Source organism: Homo sapiens, chromosome 7, assembly GCF_000001405.40.
Source record: "Homo sapiens chromosome 7, GRCh38.p14 Primary Assembly".
Classification (NCBI taxonomy): Eukaryota; Metazoa; Chordata; class Mammalia; order Primates; family Hominidae; genus Homo; species Homo sapiens.
In genome coordinates this window covers 30,134,884-30,162,852 of record NC_000007.14, presented here as the reverse complement: position 1 = coordinate 30,162,852, position 27,969 = coordinate 30,134,884, and the positions used below count along the sequence as shown (strand labels likewise).

At 46.7% G+C, this 27,969-nt stretch overlaps 1 protein-coding gene across 2 annotated transcripts, besides 7 other annotated features; it reads right to left on the bottom strand.

The window, feature by feature from the left end:
* Positions 1 to 90: 90 nt before the first annotated feature.
* MTURN (maturin, neural progenitor differentiation regulator homolog) lies at positions 91 to 27,867 on the bottom strand. Of its 2 annotated transcripts, XM_005249652.4 has the most exons (4): positions 27,555 to 27,867; positions 16,554 to 16,676; positions 5,258 to 5,415; positions 91 to 3,867 (listed from the first exon to the last, which is right to left on the bottom strand). In XM_005249652.4, exons 1-3 carry the CDS (start codon positions 27,714 to 27,716, stop codon positions 5,305 to 5,307), a joined length of 396 nt encoding a protein of 131 aa, XP_005249709.1. In that variant the 5' UTR covers positions 27,717 to 27,867; the 3' UTR covers positions 91 to 3,867; positions 5,258 to 5,304. The 2 variants fall into 2 exon arrangements, with proteins under 2 accessions (XP_005249709.1, NP_690006.2); NM_152793.3 differs by having other exon boundaries at positions 91 to 5,415.
* Positions 3,002 to 3,061: a silencer, noted in NCBI's record as "silent region_18057". NCBI's record gives its function as "represses an Ori minimal core promoter by ATAC-STARR-seq in GM12878 lymphoblastoid cells {active_cell/tissue: GM12878}" and the evidence as "EXISTENCE:reporter gene assay evidence [ECO:0000049][PMID:35858748]".
* Positions 13,065 to 13,564: an enhancer, noted in NCBI's record as "H3K4me1 hESC enhancer chr7:30188905-30189404 (GRCh37/hg19 assembly coordinates)". NCBI's record gives its function as "activates a minimal SCP1, AML or CMV promoter by ChIP-STARR-seq in naive H9 embryonic stem cells {active_cell/tissue: H9 hESC(naive)}" and the evidence as "EXISTENCE:reporter gene assay evidence [ECO:0000049][PMID:30033119]".
* Positions 26,740 to 26,919: a silencer, noted in NCBI's record as "silent region_18056". NCBI's record gives its function as "represses an Ori minimal core promoter by ATAC-STARR-seq in GM12878 lymphoblastoid cells {active_cell/tissue: GM12878}" and the evidence as "EXISTENCE:reporter gene assay evidence [ECO:0000049][PMID:35858748]".
* Positions 27,240 to 27,379: a silencer, noted in NCBI's record as "silent region_18055". NCBI's record gives its function as "represses an Ori minimal core promoter by ATAC-STARR-seq in GM12878 lymphoblastoid cells {active_cell/tissue: GM12878}" and the evidence as "EXISTENCE:reporter gene assay evidence [ECO:0000049][PMID:35858748]".
* Positions 27,572 to 27,949: a silencer, noted in NCBI's record as "fragment chr7:30174520-30174897 (GRCh37/hg19 assembly coordinates)". NCBI's record gives its function as "represses an EF-1alpha promoter that drives an FKBP-Casp9 reporter gene in an ReSE screen in K562 erythroleukemia cells {active_cell/tissue: K562}" and the evidence as "EXISTENCE:reporter gene assay evidence [ECO:0000049][PMID:32094911]".
* Positions 27,572 to 27,969: a biological region, named in NCBI's record as "ReSE screen-validated silencer GRCh37_chr7:30174520-30174897".
* Positions 27,720 to 27,969: a silencer, noted in NCBI's record as "silent region_18054". NCBI's record gives its function as "represses an Ori minimal core promoter by ATAC-STARR-seq in GM12878 lymphoblastoid cells {active_cell/tissue: GM12878}" and the evidence as "EXISTENCE:reporter gene assay evidence [ECO:0000049][PMID:35858748]".

Below are 27,969 nucleotides of genomic sequence, written 5' to 3'. Positions count from 1 at the left end.
TTTACTCTTTGCTCTTCATTTATAAGCCACATTAGGTGTCCTTTGGGACCAAACATTGTGGAGGCAGAAAAAAAGAGGCAAACACCACCAGAGTTTGAAAGGCTCTTTAATAGCAAGCGAATGGTAATTACATGGTCGGATGAGGTCCTCACTCTCAGGGGAGGGAGGAGGGAGCAGAGGTGGACAGGGTGCAGTATAGGATTTACACTGTTTGAAGCATCTAACGAAGGGCAACAGTTTTTGGCAACCCAATTCACAGTTTTGTAATTTACAAGAGATTTCTTTGAAAGGAAATAGGAAGGCAAAGAAAGCACACATACCCTACCGGCAACACTTCTTGCCTAAAAAAAAAAAAAAACAACAACCAAAAAACAAAAACCCAACAACTATTCCTTGCTTTTGCTTCTTGTGTAGATGACTAAATTTTGCTCTCATGCTCAAATTAAGACTGGATCACGGATAGTGAAGATCTGCCCTAGCATTGAAGATTTACTTCCTCCTCTTCAGAGCTGACATTTGTACTGCGCACTACTCTTATCTTTATCTGCCTAGGTGTCAGAAGGGGCTTAGTAAAAAATGAAACTTGAGAAACAAAACAAAACAGAAAAACAGGGAAAGGCAGTTTACAAAGAACAGACTGTCAGCTTTCTGTCTGGTATCAAACAACTTGAATACAGCTCTAAGTAAATTAAAACATTTATTTTTATGTGGCCTGGCATCTACTTTTAATCGCTTGTGCCTATTCAGCCTTATAGTGCTTTAAATGGGGTTTCTAACATGAAATGCTCATGGGTACTATATTTTCGTAATCCAGATTTAAATAAAAATATAAAAGACAACATATTATGTTAAATAATATGTTGTCTTTTATATTTGCCCAGTGAGCAGAAGCTATAGATATTTTACCATGGACACCCATTGCCATGGACACCACAGGCTACCAGCATTCTGGCAGGTTTCAGAATTACTCTCTATAAAATCTAAAAGACTTCAGCTTCTTGTGTCATACCTGTTATCACTAAACTGGGAGAAGTGACTGGGTCTTTATGAAAAAGGATCAGTTTTTAATTCAAAGAAATTTTAGGCTTCTCCGAAGACTGGGTGATCAGCAATGGCATCTCTTTGGAGCTAACACCCACTGCAGGGGAGAGGGGTCTGTGATCGCTTAAGCATTAATTGTGCTCTTTCTACAACCTTGAAGCACAGTGAGGAGGTTGGCCCTGCCCTCTGGCCTGAGGGGGCACTCCTGCTTCCTCCCCGCTGCCAAGGACACCCAAGTTTGCTTTGTGATTTACCTGCCGGGTGCCTGGAGCCCCTCTCAGATCTGCCTGCATTTGGGAAAGACAGGCTTCTCAGGCTGGCAGCTGGTTTTACTGAAGGAAAGAGCCCTACCAGATGAGCAGGGTTCCTGTTGGTCTCCTTGGCTGGGGGGCACTTTTAAAGTGGCAAAGCCATGCCAACACAAGGCATTGCCTCTCAACATACAGTCAGTTCCTTTGAGGAAAGCAGGCCCCCAGTGAGACAGCCGTGAAAATGAAAACAGTTTTCCTGGGGCTCAGGTGGTAACTGTCAGACCCCAACTCTCCCATTCTCCCTTATTCATCTCCTCCCACCCCAAGTTAAGTCCTGCCTATTCCTTCATGCCTCTCTGTAAGAAATCAGATCTGTTCATACCAGTTTCCCAACTTGTGAATTTTAACATGCAAAGCCTATTCCTAAAATATAAATTCCAATGACACTTGGGACCACAGCTCCCCTAGGTCCATGTACATTGTGCTCTTATGAAACAGAAACAATATTCAGAAATATATTGTGCTAGAGACGGTTTCTGTTTATACATGAAAGATGACAGCAACTATAAAGGAGAGAGGTTTTCGTTGAAGTACACTGGAAATCTAATTCTGGCACCAGGACACAAGGAGGATCCCTACATAAGAGACTTTTCCATTGCACCATGTGCTGCTTTGGGCCTGGGAGACAGGAGTGGACACCTGAGTGCAGGTGAATCCACAGTGGTGACAGGCACTACACGGGGCCTCACCTCCCTCCCTGGCTCCGTACTTCACTCTGATTCCTTGACGTCTGCTCGATATGGTGATCAGGCTGCGGAAACCAGGCGGCCATAAGAACAATGTCTCTAGGATTCACTCAAACCCAGGATCACGGTTTTGTAATGTTATCAAGGCATGATTTTGGATTTCAGAGCTGGCCCAGTGAACAACAAGCAATCAAGCATTCCTTTCTCTTTCTTTCTCTCTCTCACATATACACACACACTCTTTCTCTCTCACGTTACTTTCACTGTCACTTTCTCTCTACTGGATAACAGGCCAAAAGTACTGGCACTCATCTTTCACTTTCTTCCAGCTATTCTTCCTACACATCTCTCACTCTCAGGTAAGTTAAACATACACCACTTCCAAAGCCCCAGTCTGCCACAGCACAAAGAAAAGCCATGTCTCCACAGGCAGAGCATGTACAGCTGAGATAAGTCCTCTGGGGCCTCACCTTTCCCTTTCCTCTAAGGAAGAGAATTTCATCTGCCCCATGAGATCGAGCCCTCAGGGGCTTGGGCACTCACAGATCAACATGTTCTAAGGTAGTGCAGGGGTCAGCATCCTAAAGGCAGCACCTTGGCAAGATCCCACATGTATTTTCTTCTCGAATCCCTAAAAGTTTCCTTGACTGTTGCTCCTTACTCACACACACACATAAGGCAGGCACAGAAGGGCAGTGTTTACAGCTGGAAGGGCAAATGCCCCTTGTTCACAGACCAGTTAGACTTGTCAAGGTCACACAGTCCTTGGCCGACTTGAACTAGAACCCAGGTGTCTCTCCTGCGTCCAAGGTCAACACTCCTCCTCCCACACCGCTGCCACCTCCTGGTGAGTAAATGTGTAAGTCTGTGAAGGGTCAGGGATGTGTTTCACCATGGAACCATTTCCATAACAGAAACCACAGGCTGCCAGGCTCACTGACTGCAGCTTTGCACCATGCACAGCCCTGCTTAGAGCAGCCACAGCGCAGGAAGAAGTGAGTGTGTGGGCAAGTGTGTGAGCACGAGAAGGGATGTGCACACATTCAGAAAAAGGAAGTCTTAGAAGAAACAATTCGATCTGCTAATGCTGTTTGGGATTTTGCTATGGAGATTAAGTAACATACAGACATGTTCTCTGTTTCCTACCCCTGGTGCAAAACAAAGCCCAGAATTCTCATCAGCCCACAGAATGGCCGAGTCTATCTATCTCCACTCAATTTTTATAAACAGAGAACATTAACATGATAATACCAACATGTATTTGGTCAAAGTCTAAACACTTTTTTGATAAAATACATTTTATGTTAATGTCCATTCCATTTCCAAACATACATAAATTTAGATTTTAAGCTTCAACGTATAAAATTTCAGTTTACCTTCCAATGGAGCAAGCTAGTGAAGCTTCCTCATTTCACTTGCAGAAGTCATTCTTGCGGCTTACTGCATTAAAGTGGAGGTTACGAAACCTGGGCGACACCTGTGTAATATACAGCTCACAATCACCTTTGCTCATGAATGGAGCCAATCAGAACACAGGCAGGGCTGCAAAGGGCAGTATATGCTCACCCCAATGGATGAAACACTAAGTTGTGTTTTACTAATAGGCTACTTGGAAGGAAATTCATTTTACTTGAAATTAACCTTTAGTATGACTTTTCAAGAAAAGAACACAAAGTGGGTACTGAAGCACAGATGGAAATCACTGTCCTATTATTTTACCCGATGACTTAAAACTGGAGTACGCTGTTTTACCACGAGCAGCCGAACTCCTCACAGCACCAATCAATTAAACAGAAAATGTCGAGACAATCAGGTTTACACCGACATGCCTGGAAGATATACAAGACTCCCATAAGTTCTGTGGCCTCTGCTGCTACTGCTTGTTTTTAATTCAAAACTTTCACAACCTAACAGGCACATGTGTGACTGTTTAAACGTACCCACCCCAGATGCTAGGTTTAATCTAGTGTTGTAAAGGAGGCATTCCGCATCCTAGGTTAACTAAAACCAGGGATGCAGAAGGGTCCAGGAATAATTCCATGTTAGCATTACAAAGGATGTCCCCAGTAAGTAATTGTTGGCTAAACGATAACAGCAGTATTTCCAGTTATTACAGAAGTTGTTTCTGTGAGTTGTCTGAGTATCTTGATTATTAAAACGTTCCCTGTTAACCAAGCTAACCCACGATTAAAAGATTCCTACCTTCGTGTCCCTTTACAAATACACCACAATTAAGTCCCTCGAAACATGTGATTAAATTTTTAAATAAATTACACAATGGAATCCTTTTTTTGACTTTTTTTTTTTAAATAAAAGACTTAAAAAGTAAAGAAGGATTCTACCATATTTTTAAAAACTTTTAATCCTGGTTTACTTTTCTAACAAATTTATCTATGGCTTCAAAGTTTAAGCGGCACTTGAATTCTGGATGTTTTCATGATTTAACAAGCGGCCATCTCATTAGAAAGAGAGAAGGTAAAATGTTTCATTTTATACGTGGGACGGCTTATAAACAGCTTTAAAAATCAATACATTATATCTTTCACCCCATCTATATTTTCCACTATAGACTTCAAAAGTGGCTTTGGAATTAGCATGTTTTGAAACAGTCGAACAAGCAAGTAACATTTACACCTAACCACGAACCAGTCGCTACATACCCAGGTAACTCAGTAATGGCAAAACACTTAAAGGCTTCTGGGCCTCTCTTACCCTCTTAGTCCAAAGCTAAGTGATTATCCTTTCCTGCCCTTGTATTTGCACTTGTGCAGTTTAATGACTAGATATTAAAATTCATGCTTTATAAGCAAAACCTTTCACTTACGGACACTTAAAAAGTACATAAAAAGTGCAGACTGCATTTCTTCTCTGCCATGCTTTCCCTCAGTAAGGTCACCTGTGAGGACTCAAAACCTATCCTTAATACATTCAGAGTTCTCTACATTCGAGTCAGCGAATGTTAATTCTCCAACATAAACTTAAGAGAATAGTCAGCCACAAAATGGACTCTAAATTCAAAATGGCAAAGGCTACCAAGACAACTCCATAGAAACCCCACTGAAGCGGGAGTGAAATTCAGGTCACTTCTGAGCAAAGCTCATCACAGATATTTTGTGGTCGTTAAAAAGGTATTTCATTTTAATTTGGATGCTGGGAGCCAGATGTCCTATTTCGAAGTGCTAATGCAAAATGCTAACCCAGGAGGGGCAGTGACCCCACCTAGGTTACTGTGGGGCTCACTCTCCTTCTCAGGGGAGCCCCCAGATTTACTGCTGGCTGACCCCCATCTGGGGGTGGTCCGCCTCTGGCTCCTCTTCTTCCACGTCAGCACTGTACTCTTCAAACGCATCGTCATCTGCATCCGGAAGCCCCAGTAACTACAGGGAGAGAACAAGAGAAAAGCAGCTGTGAGCGCCAAATGGCCCACAGGCAGGAAGACAACCAAAGGCATCGGATCCACATTAAAGAGTACTTAACCCAGCAGCTGCAGACTTCCCCGTCAACCACCCCTACAATGATTTTCATAAACTTGTTAGACGGAAATGTCAATCTTTCAATGGATTAGTGCCCAAAGGGCTAGGTTTTACTGGGGAGCCTGGAGAGTCTCTATTTTTAAGTATCAAAATGTGGCACCACATATGCACAGAGAGCTAGCTATGTGCCCACACACACATCTGGGATGTCAGCAGTCGTATGAAATGAACTGTGCTCACTGTCCCACCAAGATGTCAAAAACTGATTCTGTATTTTCTGTCCTAAAAACACACGGTGCTATTATTTATTGGTGCTATTATTTATAACACATTTCTAAAAATCTAGAGACAACTAAAATGTTCAACAGCAAAATGGTTATGGTGTTATTGAAATGGAATCTTATATATCCACTCAAAATGGCATTTTTGAATGACTTGATGACATTAAAAAGATGCACATAAGTGTAAAAAAAGCATGACAAAATTGCACTTTTATTATGACAGAGTTTTTTTTTTTTGAGAGGGAGTCTCGCTCTGTTGCCAGGTTGGAGTGCAGTGGCGCAATCTCGGCTAACTGCAACCTCTAATTCCCGGGTTCAAGCAATTCTCCTGCCTCAACCTCCTGAGTAGCTGGGACTACAGACGCACACCACCATGCCCAGCTAATTTTTGTAGTTTTAGGAGAGACAGGGTTTCACCATGTTGGCCTGGGTGGTCTCGATCTTCTGACCTTGTGATCTGCCTGCCTCAGCTTCCCAAAGTGCTGGGATTACAGGCGTGAGCCACCATGCCTGACCCAGAGTTTCTTTATATATGTGTGTATGTATATATATATTTTTAATAGAGACAGGGTCTCAGTATGTTGCCCAAGCTGGTCTCCAACACCTGGACTCAAGCAATCCTCCTGCCTCGGCCTCCCAAAGTGCTGGGATTACAAGCATGAGCCACCACACCTGACCCGGAGTTCTTAAAATTTATACACATATGCATAGAAAAAAGACTTCAGTAAAATACACCCCAATTTTAAGGTTTTTTTTAAGATTGTGAGATTATGGGTAATTTTTTCCTTTTTATCTTTTTGTATTTTCCAATTGCTGTATAATTATGTGGGACGTTCAAAATAAACATCGTTTTTTAAAGCACTGGCTGGTCTTTGGTTAGAAACCAAGTGCCATTTGCTAGGCCTGATCAGTATGAACACCACCTCCTGGTGCAGGCAAGAAGCCACAACCCTAGCTGTCGGACCTGCCTGTGATAACCAGGCTTCTGTCTCCTGGTGCCTTCATGAGATCTACAGTCTGTTTGTGGCCCAAGGACTTCTTACATAGGGGTGTCCAGGGCCATCAATTTCAAGCACCTTCACTGAGTGGCCCTAATGATCTAAACACTAACTGCATCAAGACAGTAAAAAGAAGACTGACCATTCTGTTCAATTGCATTGCCTCCCTGGTGTCCTGCCACCCCCTTCCTCTCTCACTCCCTCCACGGCTGAAATGGGGAAAGAGAAAGCAGAGTCCTGATGAAAATAATGCCTTCACTCTGAAGTTCTCCAGCTGCAGCTCTCCCAGGTCTCCCAGCACCCTATGAACACATTCAGGACAAAATCATCTGCTAGGCATTGTTGGTCACACTCTGCCTGTGGCTTGCCAAGGCGTACACAGTCAACTGCAGACACACGCTCGCCCCTTAGAGCTGAGCATGCCACAGCTGCCTCAGAGACTCTGCGGATGTAGAGGGGAAGGGCAGGAAGAGCGCTCTCAGCTCCCCGGAGAGGGTGCTCCAATCTTGAGTGTGCTTGGGAGAAGAAAGTCTCTTTTTCCGGCTCCTGTCTCCCTTGCAGATTTTAGTAAATGGAATAAAAAACCAAGTTTGCCTCTAAAGAGAGAAAAGATGACTAGTCGTAAGGCACGTCGATGACTACACTTGGTGGTCAATTTTTTATTTGGAGAGCTGCTCGATGACATAGCAAGGTAAAAGTGTCAAATAAGTGGTAACATTTAAATAGCTGGTAAAATATAAATACTATCGCCACCACCAGGAACTCCAAAATTACCTAAACAATATATATAATTGTTCATTGTATTGAAGGGATGTCACTAAAGAGAAATGACCAGTTGGTTCCCTCTCACTTAACAGACCTGACAGGGAGTGGCTGCCTGGAGTTTCAGGATTCTGAGGCCCCGTGGAAAACACTGTGGTCAACTAGCAATGGCTGTCCTGCATGAAAAGGGCGCAGCTGAGGTGTGCATCTGCATATTTGCCATCTTTATCCAAAAGAGATGTACCATGGGCGATTCTGTTCCATAACACCCCTAGGTGATTCATACTGACCCAAACCATAGGTAGCACTCAACACCCTCCCTCTCTTCAGCTTAGGGTACCTTATTGAAAAAGACCCAGGAAACCAAGCACATAGCCATGACCACCTCTCTTCTGCAGTTCCTTTTTCCAGCTCCCTACCTTACCTCAGATGAAACCAGCACATCTACTGACAGGTCCCCAGGCTGGAAGTTTTCTGACTGCTCTTTCAAGAGCTGCTCACTCACTGCCCTTCTGGAAAGGGGAGAGGAGAGGCAGTTCTCTGTGGCCTTCTGGAATTTGGAGGCACCTTAGTGTAGGGTCTACAGATTTATTGAGAGGGTGTGTGGAAAAAGACACTGGCACTAGAGTCCAGAGGCCAGAGCTCTAGTTAGCTGGAGACCTCTGCCAAGTCACCACCTTGCTGACCCTCAATGTCCTTCTCTGTAAAGCGCCATGATACCTGCTCTATCTCACAGAGTAACTATGGAGATGACATGAGAGATTGAAGGCAGCCATGATCTGCAAACTATGGAGCCTTATGTAACTACACGTGATGTGATGTGATGTAATCTAGCTATATTATCTCTAAGGAACTAGGGAAACTGGGAGTGGCCAAGAGAGTCACTCCTTATCTATAAGAAACACGTGAGCCTATGGCCTATCCCAGGGAACATGGGTCGTTATAGGGGATTAAAATCGGCCCTGAGTTCTGGGTTAAATGAATGTTGCCAGGTGGAGGTCATTAGCGGGAGGGTGTTGAGTGAAAATCCTATATACACTGCACACTGATTGCAGGAGGTTGGTTTTCCTGCCCAGCCCACCACCACGGGACCACGTGGTTCTTCTGTCCAGCCTGCCGCCACTGGACTGCATGTAAGGCGATTCTCCTGCCCAGCCCCTGCTGCTGGACTCTCTCCCCTGTATGTCAGTACGGTAAAACCCCGTGTCTCGTTTGCTGGCTCTGGGTCTCTTCTTTGGCCTCTTGAACCTGGTGCCTTCCCTACTGAGGTTAAAGGGGGTTTAGGCCAGGCACGGTGGCTCACATCTGTAATCCCAGCACTTTGGGAGGCCGAGGCAGGCGGATCACTTGAGGACAGGAGTTTGAGACCAGCCTAGCCAACATGGTGAAACACCATCTCTACTAAAAATATGAAAATTAGCTGGGCATGGTGGCGTGTGCCTATAGTCCCAGCTACTTGGGAGGCAGAGGTGAGAGAATCGCTTGAACCAGGAAGACAGAGGTTGCAGTGAGCCAAGATCGTGCCATTGCACTCCAGCCTGGGTGACACAGCAAGACTCCGTCTAAAAAAATAAAATAAAATAAAATAAAAAGGGGGTTTGGCACAGCAAATGCACTGTCTTAAGCAGAATTACACACATTAACTCCTTTGCTCCTCATAATGACCTTGTGTTGGACACTTTTATTGTCCCCCTTTTACAGATAAGACCTGAAGAGGTTGAGTAACTTGCCTAGAGTCACCCAGTAAGTGGCAGAGCCAGGATTCAATTCAAACCTGGGTGATCTGACAGCAGACTTCACACCCCTACCCACCAGGCCACCCAGGAGACTCCCATTCAGCTGTTAATGCTGTTCCTATTAGCTGGAGGTTTCAATGTTTTCCGCTGGGGAATAAATCTTTTTTAAAAATGCAATATGAAATGCTAATGTCTAAATTTGTGAGGAGGGACAATTTGGAAGCATGGATAGAAAGCACCAGAAATAGACTGCCTGGAATTCTAAGGGACATATCTTACAGATATGTAGTAATCTAGCATCCTCACCTCTATGCTTAATCCCACCTATGGTGGGCAAGTCTAAATTTAACTTCTGGATCCCAATTTTCAACAGTCAAGAAGAGACAGGCGTACACACAGACTGGGAAGAATTCTGGAGCCCTGGCTTTTACTGCAACCACACATTCTCATACCAAAAAGGTGGGCCAAAAAACGAAAGTGACTGGTATATTTAAATTATTCCTGACAGTTATAATCATTTATTCCTATTTCAGTGAATTTTTTTTCAGCTGACTGGGAAAATAGTTTATGCTCACTCTGGACAAGAGAGTTAGCATTTCCAGTGTCTCACTGTCCACAAAGCTTCCTGTGAGCTATCGGTGATCACATAAGCACTGCTGGGGCCCATCTATCCAAACAGGTTGCACCAGAAAGGCAGAGCTGCCAACTCTGGAGAATTCAGTTCCTCAGACCCAAGAGAGTATCTGTTATCTGTAGGGCCGACTACAGGTCTTTTGGATAATAGTGTAAACTATGTGAGGCCATATTGAGGTGGCATTTAGCAGCTACTGTCTCTGGAGGGGGCACTCAGCACAGTGGGCTAGAAGGTCTTCATAAAGGAAGGGGAGGTGGTGTCTGTACCCTGGAGAGCACGGCCAATCAACCATGGCTTTTGTGCATCGAGCAAGTGCCCTGTGGCTTCAGAGATCCTTGTATGTACCTTCCAGGGACTCCCCTTAGGCAGTCTCTCTTCTCCTTCACTATGTGTAGGTGTGGATAATGTGCTCAGCAATCTACCTCAAACGCAGATGATGATTCAACAGGTCTCAAGTGGGACCCAATTCTGCATCTCTAACACACTCCCAGGTGATGGGAATACTGTTAGTCCAAGAGCCAGGGGTGGTAGGACTCTAAAGCATTTGGGAAATGTGGCACCATATATCTTCATGATTATGATGCTGGCGGTATGGGGAAACCCCTGGTGGGGTCCTGGTCTGTCAGTCAGTCTTCTTGACCCTAAGGAAAAAAGGGTGGCAAGATGGATGCAGCACAATGGGCAGGAGGAGGCACTCTCTTACCTTTTGAGGCCATCATACTCTCTAAAAAAGAGAATGGTTTGAATGTTCATAACATGAATGAGAAAAAAAAAAAGGAAAAAAGAAAAAAAAGATAAACTGTCAATATTCCATGTTTATTATGAAACCCACATGTGTGCATAATCTTTTCTCATCAGACTTTCCCTGATCCACCCAGGCAGCTTCTGACAGGTGGATTCTTTCTCTTTTCCAGGCTCTTGACCAGACTCCATGAGTAGAGGCAAGAATTGGACTTTTTCTGGGACACAGGATTTTCCTGTGGGATTTAAGCCGCAGCTCTCCAGCCACTTGTGGCAAACTGAAAATATCAATCTTGCTTATGCCAGTGAACCAGAATTAGGGGGATTTTTCTGGCAGAAATGTCTCTTTCTTGAGAGAAGAAACGCAGAGTCACACAGCAAGCCCAGGAGAGGACTTGGGCCAACTGAGTGAGAATCTACAAGGACCACAGGACCCAACTCCAGGCCGGGCCATGGAAGCAACAACAACCAAACAGCACAAAAAACTGCAAGAGCAATAGGGGACTCAGGACCCTAATGTCCACAGCGTTGGTAAGGAGAAGAACACACTCGAGGAAGCAATAGTTCCTTGTTAAGCCCATAACACTTTGAGAGAATTCGAAAGGGCAAAGATAAAGTCTAGTTTCACTGCTAAATTGGAAATAGTAGGCTATTTCTTCTCTTGTAAACTGTTTTCTACCCAGCAGTAAGTCTGTCAGTTGACACTAAATATAAAACATGAAAAGATGGTGGGGAAAACTGAACGGCATGATCACCATTATTTAGGTCCGTAACCATTGTTTCATTCTCCAGCTCAATCGTGTATGACCAGCAACTGTCAATGGAGGGTCACTTAAGAAAAATGCAAGGTTCTGACGATTATCCAACTCACACTTACCAAAGTGATTGATGGGGGTTTCTGAAACCACTACAAGTAGCAGTACCTGCTCGTGGATGCCAACAACAGCCTGCCTGGCATTGTCATGTGCATACATGTGCCATTTGGATACGACATGCCAGTAGCAAGAAAAAATAGGTAAAAATCATACCTCTCTGAGCAATCAACATTAGCAAGTAGGAGGTCACTGGAGTGGAGTAGAATGTGGGTCACTCGAGGGAAGGTGGCCGGCTGCATCCACAGTCATTTACCCATCCAATAAACATTTCCTAATACCTGTTAGGAGCCAGAAACTGAGACTAAATTTAGCAGAGTGTCTGGGTTTTGACAATCCTTTGGGTTCTCAGTCTGACTTCAAAGTTCCCCATGAATCCACAAGACAGCTAAATCAGTATTGCCCCCATTTTAAAGCTGGGGACACTGAGGCCAAGTGTACCTGTTAGAGGCCACACAGCATGGGAGCAAAACAGGGCAGAGCCGATCTACCTTCCACCACATGGAGCCATTTCTAAGGAAACGGAGCTGAGGCAGCCAAGATGGACGCTTCCTGGACTTCCTCCTGGGCCAGCCCTGCCCCTGCTCTGAGCACGTCTAGGTCCGGCTATTCTTCAGTCCCACCTCCTCATGAAGCCACTGCCTGGCTTTGTTCCTCAATGAGCCTGCTCACACTGATACTCCTAGCCCTTCGAATACGCTGGAAGCCACAGTTTCATTAAAAAATATATTTTCTGATAATGTGATCATAGAAAACTTAGAAAATGTGGAAAAGAAGAAAATAAAAAATCATCCATAACCCTGAGCGCTTTGGCCACGTGCCCCTCTGGGAGGACAGGTGCATCCACTGGTCCTCTATGGAGTCCTAGCCTCTAGCACAGTGAGTCGTGTGGATCAGGTACTCAGTGAATGCTTGTAATTTTACCAAAACCAATGTTGATAAACTTTTGACTTACCCTTCTAATGCCTTTTCATGTTGAAATCACTTAGCAAATTGTTTTCTCTCTCCACCAATAATCTAAGGTTCCCCCCAACGGTAACCTGCTCACTTCTCCACAGTATTTTGTCTAGTATCCTCATCCTATCCACATCATACTAACATTGACTTAGTGCCTACCGTGGATAACGCACTGCACTGAGTACCCAACAAAAACTCCATTAATCTTCACTGCAACCCTAAGGGAACTATCATCATTAATTTTCTAATTTTACAAATGAACTGAGAAACAGAGAGGTTAAGTAACTTGTCTAAGGTCACACAGCCAGCAAGTGGTAGAACTGAGACTTAAATCCGGGTAGCCTGACAACAGACCTTGGGTTCTTCATGACTGTAGTACCTGTTCCCTCATAATTGGGTTAAGAGATGACAAGCAACCCCCTGCAGAACATGCTCACAGAAATAGCTCTCCCAAGAACCAGTAGAGTGCAGTAGGCAGAGCAGGGGACTGCTCTAAGATGAAGGTAAAAACACTCCTCCTGGGGCTGGCCCACGATAAACAAAAAAGCAGCTGCATGGATTGATCAGATTCCCATGTATTTTCAGGGAAATGATGTGCTGGTTTTACCCACTTGATAACCTGTAGCATTTGGGTAAGCGTTTCAACAAATACGTTCAACTGTGATGACAGCAACAAAACCCCTACCTATGTCTTATCTGTAACAAACCTCCCTTACGTAAAACAAACAGATAAATGGTGCCATTGGGAAGCAGTGCTCTATTTGGTGGAGGTGGAGAGTGTCAAAGTTTCTCCAGGGATCTCTGTGGTCCTTTATTCGGGTTTGTGACGCTCCCTCTCATTCAGTCTGGGGCGCATCCTGACTGGGAGAAACTTGAGGCCTTCAGCACTTCATCTTTACCAGTCCGGGAAGGTGCCTCCCACCAGCCTTGCCCTCAGGGGTAAACCGGCCCTGCCAGAGGGCGGCCCAGCCCACAAACCTCCTCACCAAAGGGCATGCTGTGCCACGTCAAGGCCTCCTCACCTGGGGAGCCACATCCCTGCCCACAAGGTAAAGTTCCACTTCAGAAAGGAAACCTGGAAGCCCAGCAACAGCACACCAAAGCTGTGGGCCCACGTGACACATCTCAGCGCCACCTGAAAGAACTTCCTCAACCAATCCAACTGCTTTCAGCTGCACATCCGGATTTCTTTTGGACCGCATTTGTTTCCTCATTTAACGTGGCTAGCCTGGTTGCCAAAATACAACCAGAGCCTCGGTAAGGAAAAACAGCACAGTGACTCCCGGCTGGAGCTCCCCTTCCCAGGTGAGCCAGTTCTGCAGGGAGGGGAGGCTGCCTGCCACCACAGACGACACCCACAGAGACCAGCTGGCGGCAGGTCAATGAGTGAGCCCCTGTGAGGAAACCTGCTGCAAAGCGAACCTCAGTTGCTAACGGGTATTCTTCTGGTTAAAATTTACAGGAATCCATTTCTTTTTAATTTTGCCTAATGTGATCTCCCTTCTTCGATGTCTAACAGGCATTTAAAACACTGACATGTCCAAAACTGAGCTCTGACATTACCAACCCCAAACTCCCCACCACCCGCCCCCGCAGCCTTCCCCATCTCAGTAAATGACTAGGCCATTCCCTTCACTGCTTGGGCAAGAAACTCAGGGTCAGCCTTCTCTCCCTTTTTCCCACATCCCACTTCTGATCCACCAGCAAGTCCAGCTGGGTCTACTCTCAAGGTATCTCCAGAATCCAACCCCTCACCCCGCCTCTGCCGTGACCGTCCCAGTCCAGGCCACCACTATCTCTCACCTGGATGACAGCAATGGCCTCAATGGCCTCTCTGTCCCTCCCCTAACACAGCCTGTTCTCAACACAGTCATCAGAGGGAGGCTTTCAAGATGTGAAGTCAGGTGACATCCCTCTTCTGCCTAACCCCTTGGGGGGCTCCCCATCACTCCAGAGTAAGAGCCCATGTCCTTCTGTGACTCCTGGAATTCCTCCAGCTCACCTCTCTCTAATTCCTTCAGCCACACTGGCCGCTCCTGCTCCCTGGACACAGGTGTTGTCCAACCCCGAGGCCTTCATACCTGCTGCTCTCTCTACTGAAAATGCTATTCCCCTAGATTTTCTCATGGCCCACTCTGTAGTCTAAGTTTTTCCTCAAATGTTACCTTCTCAGCAAAGCCTTCCCTGGTTCCCTACTCAAAAATTCCAGGACCCCTGACACTTTTTACCCCATTCCCTGATTTCTTTCCTTTCTCTTTGGCACTTAATTACTAGCATCATTTCACGACATTACGTGTGTCCTTGTCTATCCTGTCTCCCCCCACTGGAGCACAGGCTCTGTGAGATCTAAGCTTCTCATGCTTTAGTTCCAGTGCCAGGAACAATGCAGTACACAGTGCCATGTACCCAGTGGGTACCCAAAACATATTTATTGAATGAATGAATGTGGGACAGACTGGTACTTTTAAGTCAAGTATCTATTTTGAATGTGCCAAACTGGCTTAGAAAATTAACAAACAAAAAAGGGATTTCAGTGGTTTTTGTCACTCTATTTGATTTCTGTCATTTGCTTAAGCAAATCAGAGTGACAAAAGCCACTGAAATCTCATTTCTTACAATGGTGCACAAAGTGACTGGGTCCAACTCTTTCATTGAGAATGACTAAAAAAAGCTGAATTAAATATGAAAAATACCTTCTTAAATATAAAATATTAACCAGGAGAGGGTAAGCCAAACATAAAAAGCTGCTTTTATCCTGGGGGCATTTGCTGACCTGGAAGCAGCAGCTAGAAACTTCACTGCTTTCTCAGGCTACTCTAACAGTTTTCCAAAGGAGCAGACTATACACCATCCCCACTTGAAGCTGGGCCCCCAGAGGCCCACACCCTCAGAACGAGGAGGAGGCACAGGAGGCCAGACCCGCATCCTGCCTTCTCACCCCCGGGAGCCATCAGAGAACCACAAGACTTAAACTGTGCTAAGGTGTCTCAGACTAATAGGCCCCCAAGTCCTGACGGAAGCAAACAGAAATCCTCTCTGGAGTAAGGTACTGTCATCTCAGGCCTCACTTTATTCCTACATGTAAACTTTCAAATACAATAACTAGCACACAAAGATAATCCCACACACAGAGAAACAAGATACCAGGTTTGAGAACTAGCAGAAACAAAAGAAGACCAAACAGACTTACAAAATGAAATATCATCAGACATAGTCTACTATGCAACCAAGCTTACTATGTTCAAAGAAACAGAAGACAAGCTTGAAAAACGCAGCAGAGAAGGAGACAGCATTAGAACAGATTTGAAAAATAAATAGAAATTCTAGCAAATACCACTGAACATGTGCAGTATTTACAGTGGGCAGGGAATCGAACTTAGGGGAAACACTGAGACACTGGTGATGGGACTTTATCTTCCAATGAAGATAAAGGGAAGTAGGTAATCTTCAAAATAGAAGTGAGCATTCATTTTAAAGGTTTATCAGCTAGAATGAAAACAGACTGTCAGCTAGCCACAGAAATACACATTCCTAAATCCCAAAAGGGGAAAACAAAGCAACAGTAGCTCATAACAGAGACTTTTTAAAAATAGAAAAGAATAGAGCCAGTATCCAGTTTCATCCTTTTCCATACCCACAAACGTGGAGGTATTAATATAACCTGTATACAGCTTCCCAGCAATCCCCAAATATACGCCCCACTATTATAAAAGAACCTCCATTGGGCTTGCAAGTGCCATGGTTCCAAGTCTCCTAGAGGAGAACAGGAACACTCAGTTGTCTCATAAAGGATCTGTTTGCTTCCCCCCCCATCAGGGATTCTCAACTCAAGTGATGCTAGAAATAACCATCATCCCTGCAGCAAACAGCTGTGTCACATCCCGTCCCCCTCCTCCCGCCCTCGGCCTCCCTATACTGGCTGCTATCTCTAAGCCACAGGACAGACAAGAGAAAAACAATTAGTCATCCCAGGTTTTGCCCACCTTCCCCACCGCCCCTGTTATTCTAAACACAATCACCATAGAAAACAAGCTGTGGTGAGAAGCCAAGCAGGCACCTACAGGTCTGAAAGACTTGAAGACTTTTTCCAGGACTTCGTGGAGCGTCTTCTTGCCGCAGGAGGAGATGTAATCCTGTGCTAGCTGCAAGAAAGGCAGGCAGTCCTCGCTCTCACTCCACACGTGCTGCGTGCCCACGGGCGACGGAAGGAGAAAACAAAGACACACAGTCACTACACTCAGTGTGAAGTTCAGAAAAGCCAAGCAGATTTTCTTAATAACATCAATTTGAAGAAGGCCTCCATTCTACAGTAAAATTCATACATGCGTTCTTGATTTGTTTGCGTTGAAAGGGAAGAAAAAATGTCTAATCTATAGAAGCCCCCGAGCTTTTGGTCCATACCTCACCTGCTCTGTTCATCATCAGATCTGCTCCTACACAGTAAAGAGGGCAGTGGGTGGCCATTCCTCACCAATGATTTCCACTGTTCACCTTGTGCAGGCTAAGGGCGGTTTTCAGACATGGGGAAGGAGAAACCAGAGCCTTTGCCTTCAAAATCCTTAACTTTGCTTTCAGCTACGGCTGAAAGATTAATTAAGCATAGTTTGTAAGCATTAACTTGGAACAAGACATTCTTTACCCAGATCGGCCTGTGAGTAGGCGTGGTGGTAAATTTACTTCCAAATGCAAATAACTTAAGAGAACCCACCAAGTCACCACTATGTCACTGGAAAACAAAGGCTTTCTGAAAACTTCCCTTCCCTAAAATGCTTTAAAAGGACATCATACCGAAGCATCATTTCACAATCTAACACATACTAAGAGGAGATCGGTTTTAGATTTTTTGTTTCTTTTTCTTTTTCTTTTTCAGACAGGGTTTTGCTCTGTTGCCCAGGCTGGAGTGCAGTGGCATGATCTTAACTCACTGCAACCTCTTCCTGCCAGATTCAAGTGACCCTCCCATCTTGGCCACCCAAGTAGGTGGAACTACAGGTGCGCACCACCACACCTGACTAATTCTTTGTATTTTTGGTAGAGACAGGGTTTCGCCATGTTGCCCAGGCTGGTCTCGATCCACCTGCCTCAGCCTCCCAAATTGCTGGGACTACAGGCGTGAGCCACCATGCCCAGTCTAGGTTTTATTTTTTCTGAAGACTGGGTAAGGCTTTTTTCCATGTGAGGATATCCATTTTAGCACATCTTTAAGACTAGGCAAGCCTCTCTCATAAATGTTCAAAGACCTGGAACAAGGCCAAGAAATAGGTTTGAGCATTCTTAATGCAGAATACCCTGCCCTGCATATCTAAGCAAGTCAGGGACACGGGGCTTCCAGGGTAACATCAGAGTATCTGTCAGGTACCAAGAATCACTCTTTAGTGGGGACGGATCCAGGATGGCTAAACACTGGCAAAAAAAAAAAAAAAAAAAAAAAAGTATTGAGGTCTGGGAGAAAGAAAGACATCTGGCAGATAAGAACAAGATGCAGCGGCCAGATAGCAGGATAGAAGACTTATGTGGAGACATGGTCCATGCCAAGCACACACTGGCCCCATATCCCTATCACTCAATAAACACATTTCCTCTCCTTTCTTCTCATTGCAGGGTTTCTGAGAACTAGACCTACAGACTTAAAATACTGCTCAGATCCAAATGAGAATAACTAGGTGCCAATGTACCATCTTTATACCCCAATTATCTGTGTTTCATAGTTGCAAAGGTCCATTTTCGACACACGTTGCTCTCATGCCAGCAGACTTCTCTAGAGGCTTCCCCAACCCAATAAAGACAACGTCTGGGCTCTCTAGCTTTAGCGAACAGCTCAAATGCTCTTCCCTACTAATTAGAGACCCTTAAAGCTGTCAAACCACCACAATGTCATTTATGTAATAGTCTCTTCCATTGTACAAAAGTGTAATGGTACAAAGTACTTGTATATCCATTATGCCAGTTGATTCTTAATCAGTGGAGATTCTGGAAGAACAACAAAAGTTCTACTTAGTAAGTTCTGCTCAGCATCCATTTTCATACTCAAATGTGTAAAAGTTCCAGCTTATTTCAAATTATTATCCAAGTTAAAGAGGGGATTAACATCTACCACCACATTTCAAAAACTTGAAGCCTGTCCTCTGTAGACTTGTGAAGATGACAGAGTTAAAAGCTGAGTAAGTACCTGGCACAGTGCCTAGCTGACATGCAGTGAATATTCAGTAAATGGTGGACTTAAGTACCTTCTTTCCCCCTTTGCATCTGCAGGAGGATGGGGGAGACAGAGGGGAAGGGGTGGGCTTACCATCTGCCACAAGGCTATGGTCACACAATGAGTAAATCAGACACCCAATGTGACTCACTGAGAGCACTGCCTGAGGCAACTCAGGTTGCGGTTAATTCAGAAGCAGGTGCACCTATGAAAAGCTTGTAAACCTACTTTGTTAAAAAGTAAGTACATCTGGGCTTTAAATTACAAAGTAAACTTAGAAAAGTATATCACTCAAACAATAACAGAATCATAAACTGCAGTGTAGCCACCACTGCTTGGTAATCAGACAGTATATTTAGCTAAGTGTTTCTAAGGCATTTCTAACCTCATGAAGAGATTGTTCACACCACAATTTCCATTACTCTCCTTTTAGAGCAATTTAGGACTATATGTTGAAGGAAGACTTAATACCCACGAAAGGGCCTTCTGTCTGAACTTCCTTCATTTGGCTATCTCCACCTATTACCAGTTCTGTTAGGTTTTGGGGTTTAAAAAATGTTGTAACTGAATCCTTGTCCACATGATAGAGTGGCATGGGGTTTGGACTCAGATTCGGGTGTACACGGTCACTTAAAAGACATCATTTACTAAATGCTAGTTGTCTCATATCCATTGTATCTCATAACAAGGAGGTGTTCCATTTAAATTCCTTCCTTTCAAAATGAATCAAGGCAGCCGGCAAGGTATCACGAGATACAAGACAAAATGAACTAAAAATTAAGTCTGTCATTGGGAAAAAAAAAAAAAAAGGACAAAGGGAGGGAAATAAGATCCAAGAGTGAGACCAGGACAAACAGAGCAAGGTATGAGGGCCTGGCTACTTACTACAGACGGGACACAGATTTGCCAGCAAAGCTTTCTAAGTAGCCCATGCAAAGAAAGAGGCACTATCAATCTCACGAGGTAGTGTCCACAGATAAAACAGACGTGCTCTTCAGGAAAATTAACAGGCAGGGGGTTGGGGGCAGAGCGGTTATTCTCTTAGGAAGATACAGGGGCCCATTCCAAAACCAAGCGGAGTGGAGAGACCATCTATGGGCAGGGCTGGTGCTCCTGAGAACAGGATTTAGTCCTGTACAAAGACAAATGCACAACTGAAGGCCCGGAGTCCTGTGCCACTGGGCGTGGCCACAGTAACTTCAACTTGGAAAATATTTTAAGCATGTGTAACCAAATACTCATTTTGACCAGGAAAAAAACTACAGCAGGAATCAGAGAACCTCTAGCGCTGAACAATGCAACGCCCTGGCAAACATGAATCTGGGTACGGAAAGTACTGACTCTCTAATAAGGCGGTAGTCAGAGCGTCAACAGCCTGCAGGACTCCCTTGGACTAAAGGAGAAATGCCTGGAAAGGCTTCAGGGAGTAGAGGGAAGCGGTTCTCAAGCTTCAGTGTGGATCAGAGTTGCGTGCTGGGGGGGCAGAGTTTAAATTGCAAAGTTAACTGAGAAAAGTGTATCACTCAAACACAATGACAGAATTGCAATGTATCCACCTCTGCTTGGTAATCAGTTTATTTAGCTAATGAACTATTCAGTGAGCTGAGAATATGTATTTCCAACAAATTCCCAGCTGACGCTCATGTGGCTGGTTCTGGGACCACACTTTGAGAACCATGGGCACAGCAGAACTTTGGCTAACTACATATTTGAAGGGGGTTGTGGGTGGTGTGACATTTAAATATCTTTCCGGGAGAACTACAGCAATTGCCATTACTGACTATAGCCAGCTCCAAATCTCAGGTTGGCCTGAGCTGCAGTGAAGTGGCTGTCATCGAACCTGGCCTGAGTGGTCTACTCTTTCCTACAGAAAATCCGATAAGCACTTTGATTTGAGTATAGGCCATCTGCGACCCTTCTTCCTGTGAAGTCAGGCCAGAGTTTATCATAAAAGCTTGCCCAGCTTAAGAGAATATAACTATGTCACCTGCAAATAGGAAAATGAGCACCTTCCTGTTTTGTACAATGTAGATCGGAATATCCAGTTTATCAAAAAGTGGTCTCCAGTCATTAAAGTAGTCCAACCCTACAGACATTTTTGGGGGAGCACAATGTGTGCACCCCTACTATTCTAAATCCTGGTGGGTATGCAGCTGGACTTCCTGGTGCTTAAGCAGGGTGGGGGTGGCAGGGGAGGTAAGAACACACTCCTGTGTCTCCTCCCTCTGGGGCCCTTGCTCTGGGACTCACTCTTACTGGAGTACTGAAGTGGGGGTTTTCTGCCACTCGGTACCGAGGGAGTCCATTTTGAATTGGTGTGTCTTAATCCAAAATGGATCCCTGGCCAGGCCTGGTGGCTCACACCTGTAATTCCAACATTGTGGGAGGCCAAGGCGGAAGAGCTGCTTGAGACCAGGAGTTCAAGACCACCTGGTCAACAGAGCAAGACTCCAGTCTCCACAAAAAATAAGAAAAATAGCTGGGTGTGGTGGTGCGCACCTGTAGTCCTGGCTACTTGCCAGGATGAAGCAGCAGGCTGCTTCAGCCCAGGAATTTGAGGTTACGGTGAGCTCTGATCACACCATTGTACTCCAGCGTGAGCAAGAGTGAGACCCTGTTTCCAAAATAAAATACCAAAACAAAACCCTGATTCTTGTCCTGGAAACAGATGGCAGAAAAAGATAAAAGCCACAGTCCACCACACGCCTCCCAACATATTTCTTTTTTTCTCTTTTTTTTTTTTTTTTTTTGAGACGGAGTCTTGCTCTGTCGCCCAGGCTGGAATGCAGTGGTGCGATCTTGGCTCGCTGCAACCTCTGCCTCCCGGGATCAATTGATTCTCCTGACTTAGCCTCCCAAGTAGCTGGGATTACAGGCGCCCACCACCACGCCCAGCTAATTTTTGTGGTTTTAGTAGAGACGGGGTTTCACCAGGCTGGCCAGGCTGGTGTCGAACTCCTGACCTCAGGTGATCCGCCCGCCTCGGCCTCCCAAAGTGCTGGGATTACAGGTGTGAGCCACTGCACATGGTGGGAAGAGCACAGCTGGCCATACCTAGGACTAGCCCGATCTGTGTGTCAGCCACTGACCCATTTTACCAGTGAGGAAATTGAGGCTCAGGGAGGTTAAGTAACTTGCCTGTGGTCACACAGGGAACAAGGGCAGAGCCAGAATGTCAACGGAGGAGTGTGCACCCTTTCAACTACACTCTGTGCGCAATGTTTAACCGGAGCCTCGTGTATTCATTTGTAAGTCACAGAAAATAATTATATTTACAGGGGGAATCTAAAGATTTCAGGGGACAACCTGTAGACTGACTCTCATTTAGCAGGGGCCCAATAAGCGATTATGCCCATCCACTTGAGCTTGTATTGACGTAACTACTCTCCTCATGACTACCACTCAAAGAATATACAAAGGACCTCTCATTTTCCCAGAAATAACCTCTCTATATGAACAGGCACAGCCAATGTGGAATGGCCTTATGTCTACTGAGCACATCACATGCACAGCTCTTCATTTCATCCCCACACTAATCATGTAATACAGGCATGACTGTCCCTATCTGACAGAGGAGGAAACAGGGTAGAGTTTAAATCAACAAGAAAGTACTTTCTCTCCACTATACCAGCACATAAGCGGGACTCAATCTCATTTAAATAAGTTCTATTTTCTTTATCCAAATAAGAAGGCTGTTATTTGATCACATAGTTAATAATAAAGATGTGTTCAGACCACAAATGGGGATACACACACACACACACACACACCCCTCTACAAACACATGTAAAATTAAATCACAGTCCTGCCATAAATAAAGCCTTTTTCTTTAATAATATCATGATTACTACCTTTGTTTTTGTGCTGAGGAGGGATTAAACTATACAAAATTTTAGAGTCCAACGTGTCTTTGGGCTGACAGGAAAGGCTGGGCAATCTGGGAAATGAATCCCTCCCTCTCTCCCACAATCATCAGGATCCAGGCCCCCAGATGGGCTGGGCAGTGCTCTTTGTTCAGAGACCTCATTTCTCGTGGCCTAAGACAAGGAAGGAACGCAGCTGGTGCTCCATGCCTAGGAGTGCCCCTCTGTTTATCTGGCATCCAAGTGGCTGCTGACACCCCATTCCAAGCCTACCAAGCCCCGAAGGACCTTCCAAGTTGGCAGAAAGGACTCCTTGGACCCCTCTGACCAGGGCCAGGAGCCCTCCCTTATCAAACCTGTAGAGCCAGGCAGGGTGGCCATGCCCTTGAATTTCCTCCACACACAGGGCACTAGCAGCTTTGTTTCACCCCAGGCCCTGATCATGGGGCCCACAGAGAGGGGTCCCAGGTAGAGGGACAGTTTGGAAAGGGTCGGCATGGATGGGATGGCCTGTGGAGCGAGATAGAGAAAGAGTGTGCAAGGGACCCAAAATGGAGGAAAAATAAACAGGCGTCCTGTTTACTAAACATGGGCCCCTGGAACTACTGGCCTGACCCCACCTGTGGGCTGTTCTGCATGGTGGAGAGGACAGGCCTCTGGTCTCAAGTCCTTGCTCTGTCACTTCTTAGTGGTACAGTCCTGGATGAATCTCTTAAACTCCCTGAGCCTCAGTTTCTTTGCCTATAAAGTGGGAATAATAATATCTACCTCAATGAATTTCTGTGAGGCCCAATAAGAAGCACTCCCTGAACCCAGTCTAGATTGGGTCCCATGTTGTCACTCCTGTGATGCCATGCATTAAATACAGGGCTATAGTTGAAGTTGCTCTACCACTTATTAACTGTGGAAAAGTTAGTAAAGTTTGCCATGCCTCAGTTTCTTCCTCTGTAAAACAGAGATAATTATAGAGATTATATAATTATGTGAGAGTACTAAAGTTAAATGAGTTGGCATATGTAAAGTGCCGAGAGCAGCGTCTGCTACATAGTAAACTGAACATAAGTGATGGCTATTATTATTATTCTTTGAAACTGAATTCTTGACATTTGACATGTCTTTTACACTAGACTATAATTTATTCATCCTTATAGATATGTACTGAGCACCCATCATGTATGGATGCTGCTCCAAATGCCAGAACACAGTGATAACACAGACAAGGCCTCTGCTCTCATGAAGCTTAGAGTCTAGTGGCAGTGGCAGAAAACCAAAAAGAGAATGCCAAGTCTAACGAGTGCTATGGGAAGAATAAAAGAGGGTGAGATCTAAGAACATGTGGTCAGGAAGGCTTCTCTTGGGCCTCAGGAGCATCGAGGAGCCAGCCGTGGAAAGATCTGGGGCAAGAGGGTTCTAGGCAGACAGAACGCAAGTGCCAAGGCCTTGAGGCAGGAATGCGCTTGGCACATCTGAGGACCAGCAGGGTCTGTGTGGCAGGAAGGTAGATCATGTGGGGGCTTGGGGCCAGGGTAAGGGCTTAGGTTTTATTATAAAAGATGGGAAGTCAATTCAGCTGAGGTGGGGGATAGTGGTGACATGATCTGGCTTATATTTTAAATAGATCCAAAATGACTGCTGGGTAGACAGTGGCTTAGAGTCAGTCTCCCCAAGCAGTCATTTTGGATCTATTTAGTACCTCCACTTCAGTACTACAGTAAGAGTGAGGTGGAGGTTATAAGCAAGGAGACAAATTAGGAGACACGATGAAAAATGACAGTGGCTTAGACTATCTAAGCTGCCCCTACTTTAGATACCTTTCTCAAACAACTCTGCTCAGGAGGTACTAATATTATCATCCCGATTTTACAGATGTAGAAACTATGGCATAGAGGCCAGGTGCAGTGGCTCACGCCTATCATCCCAGCACTTTGGGAGGCCAAGGTGGGAGGATCACTTGAGCCCAGGAGTTCGAGACCAGCCTAAGTAACGTAACAAAACCCTGTCTCTACGAAAAATAGAAAAATTAGCTGGGCGTGGGGTGCACGCCTTTAATCCCAGCTACTGGAGAGGCTGACGCACAAGAATCACTTGAACCCGGGAGGCAGAGGGTGCAGTGAGCCAAGATTACGCCACTACACTCCAGCCTGGGCGACAGAGCAAGACTGTCTCAAAAAAAGAAAAAGAAAAAAAAAGTATGGCATAGAGGGGTTAAATAACTTTCCCAAGGCACACAAATACGGGGAGCTGAGGTGCAAACCCAAGTAGTCTGATCTACAGCCTGTGTGCTTAACCACCACACCACACTGCTTCCTAGACAAGTAAAAATTGCCCCAGGAACATGAAGGCAGAGACCCTATTTGTATTCTAGATAGCACTGGCCTGGCACAAAGTAAACCCTCAATAAATGTTTGTTGAATGAATGAATGAATGATGTGGAAATACTTTTGTAAATTGAGAAATGCTCATGTAGACATTCTTATTGCTAAGTCCTTCAACTAATAGAAATTCCATTGATCTCACACTTTTGTCTAATGCTTAATACATTTTCCAGGGAAAAAGAAAAGAACTAAGGCAGGACACTTATTAGAGGCAAACAGTAGCTTGACAAACCTGGCCTGGGACAGATTCAAGAGGTCCGGCTAGGAAAACTCCCGAGGTTGGCATCTTGTCCATTAGAGCCTCCAGAACTTGGAGAAAGTTCCATTCTACCCAAGGAATCATCTGCCCACCCCCATCCTCTATCTTTCTATCTATTCTATTTAAATTGTCAGTTTACATGACACTTTCAAGCATTTTTCTCATGCAGATGGGAAAATATTTAAAATCTGGGTGGCCTCAAGAGAAAGGCCTGATACAAATAATATAATACTTCTTACTTCTGAACGATGGTTGGATACACATATTCATGGCAAGAGAACAGCCTTTTGTCTTCCTGGCCCACTTACTGTCTTTGGAGTCATTTCTTTGGGTATGGCCTGGGCGGTCCCAGCAGGAAGGCTGTGTGGGCTTCTCCCCAGTGAAATCCAGAACCATGAGCCATTCTTGCCCTGTTTCACACGGTCAGGAGGGAGAAAGGGCGCTGGCAGATGAAGGAAGCCCAGAGCTGGAAGGGACCCTAGCCAAACCCTAACATTTTACAGTCAGCTGGATTCTGGTGCCCTTTCCACTGTATCCTGGGGGCTTTCTCACACTTTTGCAATGGAGTGAATCCCTTTTTAATGATCTCCCACTCCTTCCAAAAAGAACACTTATTTACTTACTTTACCTACAGTTAAGATGGGCTTACAGGCATTAATATTATTGTTCAGTTGGCTCTTCTGGAGGTATTCTGATTAGCCCCATTTTACAGGTGGGAAAACCAAGGCTCTTTAAAAAATGAGACAAGCTCTAAATTCTGGGAAACCCCAGGTCTCTAACCCCAAATTTGTGGGGCTCTTGCTGTGTGTTAGGGACTATTCGGTGCGTTACCTATATGAACGCCTGGGTGCTGGCATTATTATACCTATTTTTTTGGATGTGGAAACTGAGCTCAGGGTGGGTATTTGAGCACAGTCACAGAGCCAGAACTCAAATCTGGCTGTCACACAAGGCCATCCCTCTTCTGGAGTGCCACTTGTGGAATGCCCAGGTGGATCCCTGCCCTCCTCAGGGGGTGCGTGTGGGCGGAGGGAATGCTTTATCGGCCAGGCATACATAAGCCTTCACCTCTCCAGGACCAAGAAAGGCGGTCTTGCAGTCTCCCTAACTCCTTCGCGAACTTCCCGTAGGTGGTCAGGGCGCTCGGCGGCAGGACCACGGCCCAGCTTTGTCTCCCCCACCTGAGGAGCGTGCACCAGGCCGCGCCCCGCACCACCCCACCTCCGCCCACAAGGCCCGCGACCACACGGTCACCCGCGCCCACGGCCGCCTCCATCTTACATTTGGGGATCATTATTTATTCCCCGACCTTGGAAACACTTCATGAGCACCGTGCTCGCCCTACTCCACCCCTCCCACCCCGACTCCCCTGCCCTCCGCATCCCCTTCCTCAACTGCCAGAGTCGGGATCCCAGGTGGGTGCAGGATTCAAAGTGGAAGGTTTGGACACCGCAGTCCCAGTTCCCGGTCCCTCTGAGCCGGGGCTGAGGGGATTCCCCGTCATCTGGAAAAGCCAACGGGCTTCAGCAGGGCCAGGGCACCGCCTCGGCTGGAGAGAACCCGCCCGGGCCACACACACCTCTCGGGCAGCTCAGAGAGGCAGCGAGGGCAGCGCGGGGGCAGGGGGAGAGGCGTGCCGCGTGTGCGCGTGAGTGTGCGCGTGTGAGGGTGAGGGTGTGAGCATGTGTGTGTGTGTGTTGGGGTGTATGCGCAGGCGCGCGTGCGTATTAAGATCCGGGGTGTAATTCCGCAAAGAAGGTCCAGGAGATCGGGCATCGCTAGTATGGACAGAGCTTTGTGTCCAAACAGGCAGTGCAAGGACTAACCCGCGAGGGCGGGGAGTGGGGTTCTCCCGGGAGGGGCAATGCGAGGAGCCGAGGCTGGGCACCGGAGGGGAGCGGGATTCCTATCCCGGACGGGACGCCTGGATGTGGGAAGCTCCGGACCTGGGCTCCTGCCGGAGGGTCCGTGCGCCCCAGACCCGGCTGGTCCGACGCGGGTGACACCCACACCCCAGGGATGCTCCATGCCAGGCACCGCGCACGGGCCGCGAGGTCGGGTTCCCGAAACGGCGCCCGCAGCAGCGGGGAGAGGAGTGGCCTTTAGGGGGACGCCACACCTCCCGCCCCGACCCGGCTCCCCGGATCCTCCGGGCGCCTTGCCCGCCGCCCACCGGGCCCCACCCGGGCAGCGGAGCCCGCACCGCCCGGCCCGGGGCTTCCCCGGCGGAGCACGCGGGGCGCGGGGCGCGGGTTACGGCCCCCCACTCTGCGCCCACCGCCGCCCACCGCGCGGGAGCTCGGGCGCAGGGACGCACCGCCGCGTCCACACTCCCGCCGGCTCCGGCGGTCCCTCCTCCAGGCACTCACAAAATTGTCGCCGCAGCCGTTGTCCGGACACAGCACATAGAAGGAGACGCCGGGGTCGGCGTAGAAATCCATCCTGCGTTCGGTCTCCTCGGTGGCGATGAGCTCGAAGGGCGTGTTGGAGCACCATTTCTCCGCAACGTCGGCCAGCTGCTGGAAATCCATCGCGGCCCCGCGCCCGCCTCCCGCCGCCGCCCGCCCTCCCGCTCCTAGGCGCCCTCCTCCCGGGCGGGCAGCGCGGCGCTCGGCTCGGCCTGCGCGGGCTCCTCCGGGGCCGGGCTGGGCCGGCTGGGACTGTTTACATGCGGTGCGGAGTGGGGCGGGCGGCGGCCGGGGACAGCGCGGCGCCGCGCCCGCGGCTCCTCCTCCGCCCCGCCTCCCCCCGCCCCCTTGCGGGCCGCCGTGGGGGTTGGCGCGG